This window comes from Homo sapiens, chromosome 1 (genome assembly GCF_000001405.40).
Source record: "Homo sapiens chromosome 1, GRCh38.p14 Primary Assembly".
NCBI lineage: Eukaryota > Metazoa > Chordata > Mammalia > Primates > Hominidae > Homo > Homo sapiens.
This window is the reverse complement of record NC_000001.11, coordinates 202,109,359-202,121,759: the sequence shown is the minus strand read 5'-3', so window position 1 is coordinate 202,121,759 and position 12,401 is coordinate 202,109,359. Positions and strand designations below refer to the sequence as shown.

General features: G+C 50.7%; 3 annotated features.

Moving 5' to 3' along the window:
• Nucleotides 2,411–2,978: a transcriptional cis regulatory region, noted in NCBI's record as "candidate enhancer chr1.10703 targeted for multiplex CRISPR interference". NCBI's record gives its function as "positively regulates ELF3 gene expression with high confidence in K562 cells {active_cell/tissue: K562}" and the evidence as "EXISTENCE:mutant phenotype evidence [ECO:0000015][PMID:30612741]".
• Nucleotides 2,411–3,559: a biological region, named in NCBI's record as "CRISPRi-validated cis-regulatory element chr1.10703". NCBI's record gives its function as "regulatory_interactions: ELF3".
• Nucleotides 2,874–3,559: an enhancer, noted in NCBI's record as "H3K27ac hESC enhancer chr1:202087329-202088014 (GRCh37/hg19 assembly coordinates)". NCBI's record gives its function as "activates a minimal SCP1, AML or CMV promoter by ChIP-STARR-seq in primed H9 embryonic stem cells {active_cell/tissue: H9 hESC(primed)}" and the evidence as "EXISTENCE:reporter gene assay evidence [ECO:0000049][PMID:30033119]".

Here is a 12,401-nt window from a genome sequence, read left to right as displayed (position 1 = left end):
CACAAAGGCTGGGTGATGTGGAAGTGGGTGATGTTCCCGCAAGAGAGCAAGTCTGTCGAGGGGACTAGAGTGCAAGGGAGGTGGGGAGAGAGCATGGGCACTTGGGACAAAGAGCTTGGAAATATCAGCAGAGGAGGAACTGGACTGTAAAGGACTTTGTATGCCAAGCCAAGGAGTTTAGATTTTATCCCATAAGCAATGGAGAATATCACAGGTTGTTAAGTAGGCAAACAATGACTCAACTAAGTTATTTTAGAGGGGTCCCTGATGGGCAGCTGGGGTCCTAGCAATCTGGAACAGGAGGATGCAGAGACCGGGGGTTCTGTTGGGAGGCAGTGGGTGATGGAGAGAAGCCCAGAGTCAAGGAAAACCAGCAGCTTTGAGCGGCTTTGGCTGTGCATGGGAGGGAGAGGTCGAGGCAGAGCCCAAGCATGGGGTGGGTAGTGAATCCACTCAGCCACATTAGGGAGGCACAGTTCTGAGGACGGACCACACGATGCCTAGGAGAATCCACTGGAGAATTAACTCGAAGACCTGCCCCAGAGTGAGTCAGATCATTCCCTCCTCCCAACTCCCACGGCATTATGCTGCTGTCATTGAAACCTACCACCTTCACCAGCCCAGACAACATGGTGAAACCCCATCTCTACTAAAAATACAAAAATTGGACAGATGTGGCAGTGCACACCTGTAATCCCAGCTACTCGGGAGGCTAGGGCATCAGAATCACTTGAACCCAGGAGGCAGAGGTTGCAGTGATCCGAGATCATGCCACTGCACTCCAGCCTGGGCAACAGAGCAAGACTCTGTCTCAAAAAAAAAAAAAAAAAAAAAAAGGGCCAGACGCAGTGGCTCATGTGTGTAATCCCAGCACTTTGGGAGGCTGAGGTGGGCAGATCACAAGGTCAGGAGTTCAAGACCAGCCTGACCAACATGGTGAAACCCCCGTCTCTACTAAAAATACAAAAAAAAAAAAATTAGCCACGCGTGGTGGCAGGCACCTGTAATCCCAGCTATTTAGAAGGCTGAGGCAGGAGAATCACTTGAACCCGGAAGGCGGAGGTTGCAGTGAGCTGAGATTGCGGCCAATGTACTCCAGCCTGGGCGACAGAGCAAGATTCCATCAAAAAAGAAAGAGAAAAGGAAAGGAAGTTGGGGGAGGGGAGGGGAGGGGAGAGGAGAGGAGATGAGAGGTGTGCTATTTGGGGATTTGGGTAACTAGAATCATCCATCATCTGCAGCATCACCACTCACCAAGTGCCACACTCTGTGCTAAATGCTTGCTATAATTGTCACTTAATCTTTATATTATTACCCTAGACTCTGAAAGGTAAGGCAACTTTCCTAAGAACACACAGCTAGTGAATGACAGCTGGGATCCAAATGTAGGTTTGTCCAACTCCAAAGCTAAAACTCTTTTTTTTTTGAGACAGGGTCTGGCTCTGTTGCCCTGGCTGGAGTGCAGTGGCATGATCTTGGCTCACGGCAACCTCAGCCTCCCAGGCTCAAACAATCTTCCCACCTCAGCCTCCAGAGTAGCTGGGACCACAGATGTGCACCACCACACCTGACTAATTTTTGTATTTTTAGTAGAGACAGGCTTTTTGCCATGTTGCCCAGGCTGATCTCAAACTCCTGAGCTCGAGTGATTTACCCGCCTCAGCCTCCCAAAGTTCTGGGAATACAGGTGTGAGCCACCTCACCCAGCCCAAAGCTGAAACTCTTAACCACTCCTTTGTGTGACTTCACAGAATTCTAACATAGGAAGAGATGCTAGAGATAATCTACACCAACCTTCTTATTTTTCAGGAGTGGAAACGGAAGTCCAGAGAAGCCAAGTGACCAGGCCAGGCACTTGGCAGTCCTGTCTCTGCTGTGGGATCCTCAGTGCTCCACAGGCACGTGCCAATACAGTATGGACCCAAGCCCAGGGCTGGTACGTGTGAGCAGAATAAATGTTAGTTCTCTGCTCTTTAAAAAAAAAAAAATTCAGAGACAGAGTCCTGCTCTATTGCCCAGGCTAGAGCACAGTGACATGATCATACTCACTGCAGACTTGAACTCCTGGGATCAAGCAATCCTTCCACCTCAGCCTCCAGAGTAGCTAGGACTACAGGTGCACACACCCTGCCTGACCTTCTGCTTCTTATTTTATTTTATTTTATTTTATTTTATTTTATTTTATTTTATTTCAGAGACAGGGTCTCGCTCTGTCACCCAGATTGGAGTGCAGTGGCAGGATCTAGGCTCACTGCAGCCTCAACTCCTCCTGGGCTCAACTGATCCTCCCACCTCAGCCTCCCAAGTAGCTGGGCCCACAGGCACATGCCACCATGCCCAGCCTTTTGTGTTTTTTTTGGTAGACATAGGGTCTGCCTGTATCACCTAGGCTGGTCTAGACCTCCTGAGCTCAAGCAATCCACCCACCTCAGCCTCCCAAAATGGTGGGATTACAGGCGTGAGCTACCGTGCCCAGCCTCTTTATGCTCATGGATATGCCTCCATCAAACCTCACATTTGGCCTCACACAGAGTAGGTGCTCAATAAACACTGAATGCCTGAAAGGGCACCCCCTTGTGCCGGTCTCTGTGAGAACGGTTGGAACATCAGAGGCCACTAGGTGGAACCAAATGTCCAGTGATGGTAGTTAAGGGCCTGGCCTCAGCCCTTCACCCCATCGGATCTTAACCCATCCCACTCTGCCCAGGTCCTGCCCACAGACCTTCTGTGGCTGTCTGAGAAGGCCATCTGAAAAGAGATGATAGGGGACAGGGTGGGTTCCCAGGGGCTGAGACTAAAGGGATGGGGGATGTGCCTACTCTTCCCCTCCACCCCCCTGGAGGGTGCCCAGCATGGGTCCCCCAAAAGTACTTTTCTCCTACCTGTAGTTCTACTTTAGGAAGATTCCTCTCTCTGGACAAGCTGGAGCCATCTCCCCTATTCAGAAGCATGCCAGGCAGAGATGGAAGGCTTTCCTAGCCCTTGGGAGTGTCTCTCCATGATCCCAGGAATTCCCCATTCCTCTCCCTGGGAGTTTCCCCAGTGCTGGCTACAGAAAAGGTACTTAGCTGGGGCCGGGCGCGGTGGCTCACGCCTGTAATCCCAGCACTTTGGGAGGTGGAGGTGGGCGGATCACGAGGTCAGGAGTTCAAGACCAGCCTGACCAACATGGTGAAACCCCGTCTCTACTAAAAATACAAAAATTAGCTGGGTGTGGTGGTACACGCCTGTAATCCCAGCTACTCAGGAGGCTGAGGCAGAAGAATCGCTTGAGCCTGGGAGGCAGAGGTTGCAGAGAGCCGAGATTGTGCCACTGCACTCCAGCCTGGGCTACAGAGCGAGATTCCGTCTCAAAAAAAAGAAAAGAAAAGGTACTTAGTTGGAACCGGGTGGGAGGGAAGCACTGAGGTGGCACTGAGGGCATCTGAGCTGGTGTGGAAGTGCCACCCATGAAAAAAATGAGCGAATGTTGTACTGAGCAGATTCCATGTGCCATGCATTCTCCAGCCAAGAGCACACTCTGGAATCAGACTGCCTGGATTTAATTCCTGGCCCTGCCACTTACTAACTGTGTATGTGACTTTGGTCAAGTATGTAACCTCTGTCCCTCGGTTGCCTCATCTGCAACGTGAAGATAATAACAGGCTTGTTGTGAAGATTAGGATTAAATGCTGGGTGTGGTGGCTGTCCCCTCCCAGCACTTTGGGACGCCGAGGCAGGAGGCTATCTTGAGCTCAGGAGTTCAAGACCAGCCTGGGCAACATGGCAAGACCCTGTGTCTACAAAAAATACAAAAATTAAGGCCGGGCGTGGTGGCTCACGCCTGTAATCCTAGCACTTTGGGAGGCCGAGGCGGGTGGATCAACTAAGGTCGGGAGTTCAAGACCAGTCTGGCCAACATGGTGAAACCCTGTCTCAACTGAAAATACAAAAAAATTTGCTGGACGTGGTGGCGGGTGCCAGTAATCCCAGCTACTCAGGGAGGCTGAGGCAGGAGAATCGCTTGAACCCGGGAAGCGGAGGTTGCAGTGAGCCGAGATTGCGCCATTGCATGCCAGCCTGGGTGAAAAGAGCAAAATTCTGTTTCCAAAAAAAAAAAAAAAAAAAAATTAGCTGGGCATGGTGGTGCATGCCTATAGTCCCAGCTACTTAGGAGACTGAGGTGGGAGGATCACCTGAGCCCAGGAGATGAAGGCTGCAGTGAGCCACGATTGTGCCATTGCACTCCAGCCTGGGCGACAGAGCAAGACTCTGCCTCAAAATAAATAAATAAATAAGATGAAGTTATGCTAGGTGTGGTAGCATACACCTGTAGTCCCAGCTACTTGAGAGGTTGAGGCAGGAGGATCCCTTGAGGCCAGTAGTTCAAGACTATGGTGTGCCGTGATCTCGCCTGTGAATAGCCACTGCATTCCAGCCTAGGCAACATAGCAAGACACTATCTAAAAAAAAAAAAAAAAAAAAAGGCCAGGCATGGTGGCTCACGCCTGTAATCCCAACACTTTGGGAGGCCAAGGCAGGTGGATCACAAAGTCAGAAGTTTGAGACCAGCCTGGCCAACATAGTGAAACCCTGTCTCTACTAAAAATACAAAAATTAGCCGGGCATGGTGGCGCGTGCCTGTAGTCCCAGCTACTCAGGAGGCTGAGGCAGGAGAATTGCTTGAACCTGGGAGATGGAGGTTGCAGCGAGCCTAGGTCACGCCACTACACTCCAGCCCAGGCAACGGTGCAAGACTCAGTCTCAAAAAAAAAGATTAAATGAGTTCATCTATGTAAGTCATTACAATAATATCTGGCATATAATAAGCACTATATACATGTTACCTACTGGCTAGAATTCATTTGATTCTCACAGCAACCTTATGAGGTAGGGTACTATCATTATATCTACCTGTTTTACAGATTTGGAAACTGAACAAGCAGAAGGCAGCCAAAGAGGCAGAGAGGGCAAATTCTGAGACAAGTTCTTTCCCCTGCCCGGGTTCCAGTTCTGAACAGGAACATGGGTCTGGCCTATACTGGACACGGACTAAGGCTGGGGGAAGCATAGATAGTCTGACCCACCAGATCTCACTGTGTCATTCTCCTCCAAGCTCTGGGCCCCTGGCCCCAAGTAGCACTTGGGTGCTGCTCCAGGGGACAGGTGAAGGGCCACTAGTGGGAAAACATGCATCTAAAAGTCAGGAGATCTGGGACTGAGTCCCAACTCGGCTACTAACTAGCCCTGTGATTTCAGGAATAGGTCAGTCACTCATTTTGAAAATATTTGTTGAGCACCTACTATGTGCCAGGCATTGTCCTAGGCATTTGGGAAACAGAGTGAAAAACACAGCATGGCCTCCACCCTCATGAAATTCACATTCGAGGCCGGGCGCAGTGGCTCACACCTGTAATCCCAGCACTTTTGGAGGCTGAGGTGCGCGAATCACGAGGTCAGGAGATTGAGACCGTCCTGGCCAACATGATGAAACCCCGTCTCTACTAAAAATACAAAAATTAGCCGGGCGTGGTGGCGGGCGCCTGTAATCACAGCTAGTTGGGAGGCTGAGGCAGGAGAATCGCTTGAACCTGGGAGGTGGAGGTTGCAGTGAGCCAAGATCACGCCACTGCACTAAAGCCTGGCGAGACTCTGTTTCAAAAAAAAAAAAAAAAATAGGAATTAACATTTGAGGCCAGACACAGTGACTCACGCTTGTAATCCTAGCATTTGGGAGGCCAAGGCAGGCAGATCACCTGAAGTAAGGAGTTCGAGACCAGCCTGGCCAACACGGTGAAACCCCGTCTCCACTAAAATTTAGCTGGGTGTGGTGGTGCGTGCCTGTAATCCCAGCTACTTGGGAGGCTGCGGCAGGATAATCACTTGAACCCAGGAGGCGGAGGTTGCCGTGAGCCGAGATCATGCCATTCCACTCCAGCCTGGGATACGGGGTACAGAGTGAGACTCCGTCTCAAAAAAAAGAAAAAAAAAAAGAAAGAAATTCACATTCAAGCGAACGAGGCAGTCACTGAAAAAGCCAAATTGCAAGTAATATAGCTATAAATTGTGATGAAGTCATAAGATCATGAGACCGCTCTGTCTTTCCAGTTTCCCCTCAGTAAAAGGTAAGGGGTATTCTCCTGGGCCTGAAGACCCCCCAAGCATGCTATGGTAATAAAATGCAGTCATTGTGAAGGCATTTTAAAAGGTAATATGGACTGTAAGATACTGTAAATCAGTGGTTTTTTATTAGATCATCAGGGTCAGAAACACCTGGAAACTGTTTTGAAATGCACATTCTCAACCCCCACCGTAGACCTGCTAGATCAGAAACAGGGTGGGCCCAGCTTCTAGGCGTTTTCTAGCAAGTCCTCCAGGGATTCTGATGAAGGCTAGAGTTTGAGAACTACTATACTAGGCATTCCCATTGCACTCAAATGGTGAGGGGTGGGGGTGGGAGGATGCTTGTAGGAGGGGACAGAGGGAGAAACACTGTGCCCCTGGAGCTCCCAGATCAGGAAGTCACTGAACCTCTGGTGAGCAGGTCCTGTGTCTCCCTATCTTGGTTCTCAGTGCCTGGCATTCAGTAGATGCTTGATACATGTGTTTCAGGGGGCGAAAAAAAAAAAAAAGAACAAGTAAATAGTAAGTAGAAACAAAAAACTGCTCAAAAATCCTACCTGTTATAAAATGCCAAAATTTCCTTAATGGGGGTGGGAGGAAACTTCTGGCTTCCTCGACAAAGGTAACACTTAACAACTTTCAAGTCTGGGTGGCTCACTCCTGTAATCCCAGCACTTTGGGAGTCCAAGGTGGGCAGGTCACCTGAGGTCAGGAGTTCATCCTGACCAGTATGTTGAAACCTGTCTCTACTAAAAATACAAAACTTATCCAGGTGTGGTGGCGTGCACCTATAGTCCCAGCTACTGGGGAGGCCGAGGCAGGAGAATCGCTTGAACCTGGGAGGCGGAGGTTGCAGTGGGCTGAGATTGTGCCACTGCACTCTAGCCTGGGTGACAGAGTGAGACTGTCACAAAAAAAAAAAAAAAAAAACCTTTCAAGATGGTCAGCAGAAAGTCTTTCAACTGTCTTCTGCTCCTGCCCCAAGATGCCCCTTTCCTTGGGGGAAAGGGGTATCCTCCCCACGCTGTGACTTCCCCAGCCATGGCAGCTAGCTGCCTGCATGCAATGTTTCGAGCACATTTCACCATCTTTCCTCACTGGCCTACAGCACAGCTAAGGCAAGGCTGGAATGTTCAGATGCAATGAAATCCTCAAGGATGCTAAAGAGATACAAGCATAGTTGGTTACAAGGAGCCCAGGGATCCAGCTGACAAGGCATGATCCTACCTCCCAGATCCCAGAGCCCCCGTATCGTATCTCCTAGCTGGCACCAAGTGCTAGGAGCTCTCTATAAACACCTACTCTCTTCCAAGTCCACACCAAGAGATGGGTGGAGAGAGGTCCTCTTCTGCTTACTAGGATTGCTCTCCAGGTTAGTTTCTCAGTAAGGACCCTTTCAATATCAGAATAACTACAGGCAGGGACTTGCCTCTTGGGGCCCAACTGGCTGCCCCAACAGAAAAAAACCCCAAGCATTTATGAGACACATAGTGGCTGTGGGAGGAGAGAAAGCCAGCAGGTTGTTATTTGTTTAACAAATGTGTACTGAAAGCCTTTCATGTGGCAGACACATCACTGCTACCCAGAAGCATTTGTTATTAACCCCTCCTTTGATAGCTCACTACTTTCAAGATAGCCCATTCCAATGTTTAGATGGCTGTGATCATGCCGAACTTGTTCCCTTATCAGAAATGTGACTCAAGGAAAATCCACCCGTTGGTTCTTGTTCTGTCCTCTGGAAGAGACAGAACACACACACACACACACAGAATCCAGGTGTGAGACACAGTCAGCAAGCATAACATCAAATGCATAAGGAGTAGGCACTGGCCACAGTAACAGGTGGAGGTATGTGAGGATGGCAGCAGGCAGGAGAGCCCAAGGGGATCAGACAGGCTTGGGTGAGTCAAAGAAGGCTTCCTGAGAAGTTCTAGAAGGGATTTCTTCAGGAGCAGAATTTGAGTGGAAGTGAGAGAGTTAGTCTGGTAGAAAGGAGCTGGGGCAGAAGTTCCAGGCAGGAAGAGAGCTGGTGGGGAGGAAAGACTCCAGGAAGAGCCAGCTGCTGGGTGGAGCCCAGCATCACTCAGCTGGAGGAGAGAGTCTGGCCCCTGCAATCACAAGACCAAGCAGTTGAGCCAGGGCAGGAATGGGGTGAGGCTGGAGGAGCCTGGGAAACCCCACAGGGCACCCTGCATCCTCTCATATCTCCCTTCCCCAGTGATTCCAGGCACATTTGGCTGTCCCCTACAGATGCCTGTACCAGATTTTCATCCTTGGTAGCTGGAGGGGCAGGCTGCAGGGCCCTCTGGAGTCTAGAACTTGGTTCTGAAGCCCTGGGGCAGGTGGAGAGGGATGGGATAGAAATCTTACAGGGAGATCCAAGTCCCAGGCTGTAGCTGAGATAGGTTTGGCTGCAGCCAGGGGCAAACGTGGAAAGCTGCCACAGTTCCTGTTTAGGTGGCTGTCTGGGAGATGGAGCAAGCACTAAACATAGAGGAGTCTCAGGTCCTGCCTCCAAGCTGGCTGGCCCCCTCCCTGAGCCCTTGACCCCAAGTCCTGGCACTGCCGCCATCCCCACCCCATCCCACACAGCCACAAGGCAGCACGGCCACGACAAACAGATTATTCATTGCCAGGTGCCCTAGCCATGTCCTTTCTGCCTTCTTGCCCTGATGTCCTGACACAAGCTGCCAGAGAGCTCAGCACAAAAGAATGCAGGGCAGAGCCAAAGAGGAGGGTTAACCCTTCCCTGGGCAGCATCTGCCTGGACAGCTTTCAGGGGGCCGGTTGGGTGGGTGGGGAGGGAAAGGATGGTTGAACTTCTACCTCTGAGTCCCTCTGAGCCTAAGAGCGGCACCTTCTTCCTGCCCTTCTCTGGAGTTGATGGGTCATCCTAGACACATGAAATTGGATCCACAGAAATCCACATCTCCTCACTTCCCAGCTATGTAGCCATGGGCAAATCACTTAACCTGTCTTTTTTTTTTTTTGAGACGGAGTTTCGCTCTTTCGCTCGGGCTAGAATGCAATGGGGCAATCTCGGCTCACTGCAACCTCCCCCTTCCGGCTTCAAGGGATTCTCCTGCCTCAGCCTCCCGAGTAGCTGGGATTACAGGCGCTTGCCACCACGCCTGGCTAATTTTTTTTTTTTTTGAGACGGCGTCTCGTTCTGTCGCCCAGGCTGGAGTGCAGTGGCGCGATCTCTGCTCACTGCAAGCTCCGCCTCCCAGGTTCACGCCATTCTTCTGCCTCAGCCTCCCCAGCAGCTGGGACTACAGGCGCCCGCCGCCACGCCTGGCTAATTTTTTTATATTTTTAGTAGAGATGGGGTTTCACCATGTTGACCAGGCTGGTCTCAAACTCCTGACCTCGTGACCCACCCGCCTCGGCCTCCCGAAGTGCTGGGATTACAGGCATGAGCCACCCACGACCGGCTAACCTGTCTTTATCTCAGTTTTTGATTTTTGTTTTTTGAGACGAGGACTCACTCTCGCCCAGGCTGGAGTGCAGTGGCGCGATCGTAGCTCACTGCAGCCTCCAACTCCTGGGCTCAAATCATCCTCCTGCCTCTGCTGGTATTATAGGCCCATGCCCGGCAGACCTCAGTTTTCTTTTTTTTAATATTTTAAAATAAAATTATTTTAAAATAGGCCAGGCACAGTGGCTCATGCCTGTAATCCCAGCACTTTGGGAGGCCAAGATGGGTAGATCACTTAAGATCAGGAATTCAAGACCAGCCTGGCCAACATAGTCTCTACTAAAATTACAAAAATTAGCTGGGCGTGGTGGCAGGCACCTGTTATTCCAGCTACTCGGGAGGCTGAGGCACGAGAATTGCTTGAACCTGGGAGGCAGAGGTTACAGTGAGCCGAGAATGTGAAACTGCATTCCAACCTGGGTGACAGAGCAAGACTCCGCCTCAAAAAAAAAATTAATAATAATTATTTTATTTTATTATTTATTTTTTTGAGACAGAGTCTCGCTCTGTCACCCAGGCTGGAGGGCAGTGGCCTGATCTCAGCTCACTACAACCTCAGCCTCCCACGTTCAAGCAATTCTCTTGTCTCAGCCTCCCGAGTAGCTGAGACTACAGGCACTTGCCACTACACCTGGCTAATTTTTTGTATTTTTAGTAGAGACGGGGTTTCACCGTGTTAGCCAGGATGGTCTCGATGCCCTGACCTTGTGATCCGCCTACCGCGGCCTCCCAAAGTGCTGGGATTACAGGCATGAGCCACCGTGCCTGGCCAATTATGTTATTTTAAAATAGAGATAGAGTCTTGCTGTGTTGCCGAGGCTGGTCTCAAATTCCCAGGCTCAAGTCATCCTCCCGCCTAAGCCTTCCAAAGTGCTGGCATTACAGGCAAGCACCACCACACCTTACCCAACCTCAGTTCTTGACTGTAACTGAGGACAATAACATGCACCTCCAAGGTTGCTCTGAACATTAAATTATGAAACTTGAGTGGTGCATTCCTGACATAAAGCATGTTCTTGATGAATGTCAATTTCCTTCCTCACTCCCTCTATTCACTCCTCCTTCACACACCTGCCTCATTCTCCCAGTCCCACTAAGAGCACTGTCCAATGCCTTCAGGCACTTCTGCTTACAGGGTGCAGCAGACCCTGAAACCCCAGGCTAGAGGGTCTCGGCCTGCTGTCCTGCAGCCTGGTAATGTGGCTCTGACTCAGACTGCTGCAGGACCTCGGGCCGTGCTGCCATGATCCCAGGCATCCCAAAGACTCCGGAATGGCTTTGAGGGTTTCCTCTTCCCCTCCTAAAATGATGAGTCTATTTTATGTCCCCCTTAGCCATTACCCCATACTGGGGGTGGGGAAGAGGCAGAGAGTGCTTCAAAGGGAGGGGGCAAAGCTCCCTGGCCACACCTCCCTGTGGGAGAGACGGAGGAAATTTCCTGTATGCAGAGGAGGTTAAAGACAGACACAGGGGGCCAGGCGCGGTGGCTCACACCTGTAATCCCAGCACCTTGGGAGGCAGAGGCTAGTGGATCACTGGAGGTCAGGAGTTCGAGACCAGCCTGACCAACATGGTGAAACCCCGTCTCTGCTAAAACTACAAGGCTGTGCATGGTGGCTCATGCCTATAATCCCAGCACTTTGGGAGGCCGAGATCAAAACCATCCTGGCCAACATGTTGAAACCCCGTCTCTACCACAAATATAAAAGTTAGTTGGGCATGGTGGCGCACGCCTGTAATCCCAGCTTCTTGGGAGGCTAAGGCAGGAGAATCTTTTGAATCTGGGAGGCGGAGGTTGCAGTGAGCCAAGATCGTGCCACTGCACTCCAGCCTGGTGACAGAGTGAGACTCTGTCTCAAAAAAAAAAAAAAAAAAAAAGACTCAGAGATCCCACCCCAGCCCCTAGCTCTGGAATCGGAGCCCAGCCTCTATTCCCTAGAACAGGCAAGGCCAAGCTGGCTGCCCAACATCTTGGGTGAGACTTGATTTATGCATGAATAGAATGATTTCTACCCATGAGCAAAGGTCCTCCTACCTCTGGCTGTCCTTGGCTGTAGGGGTCAGATCTTGACCCCTCTGAATCTTCCTGGGGTTCATTCTGTTTCTCTCCTGTCTAAACCAGCACAAAAGTCCTGTGAATCTGCAGGGGCAGTGTTTTGCCCGTTTGGGGGCCTGTGGCCTTGCGGGCTGAGGGAGGCCCTTTGCTGAAACTACCCTATACACCCTACATGAGAACAACCTGCAGGGGCCTGGGAACCTAGGTCATGTCTGTCTCCCCAGTGCCTAGCATAATTCCTGACACAAAGTATGCACTTCATGCATATAAGTTGTTTTCGTTTTTAGCAGGTCTCTGCTTGAAGACGTGGCAGCCTTCAGTCAAGGTCATGTCTAGAGTCTCAATACTGGGTAGTATGAGTGCCCTGCATCTGGAGGGCTCGAAAATTTGAGGGTTACACTGAAACAAGTTTGGATTGTCTGCATCTCCCTCTATTGAGGTCCCTCTGGCATAGAGCACTGAAATGCTAGTTCATCTAGCACCTAGGCGCTAGTTCATAGACCCTGAAACTCCCAGGCTGGGGGGTCTTGGCTTGCTGTCCTGCAGCCTGGTAATGTGGCTCTGACTCAAATTGCTGCAGGACCTTGGGCCATGCTGCCATGATCCCAGGCATCCCAGAGACCCCGGAATCATAGGCGCTAGTTCAACTAGGACCTATGAACTAGCATTTTTCCCTCATAGTCAACAGAAGATCCCTGTTCTCCCAGCCTTTGGGCAGGGCCTAGAGTAGGAAGATTGGAGGACACACAAGCATAGTGCCCCTTT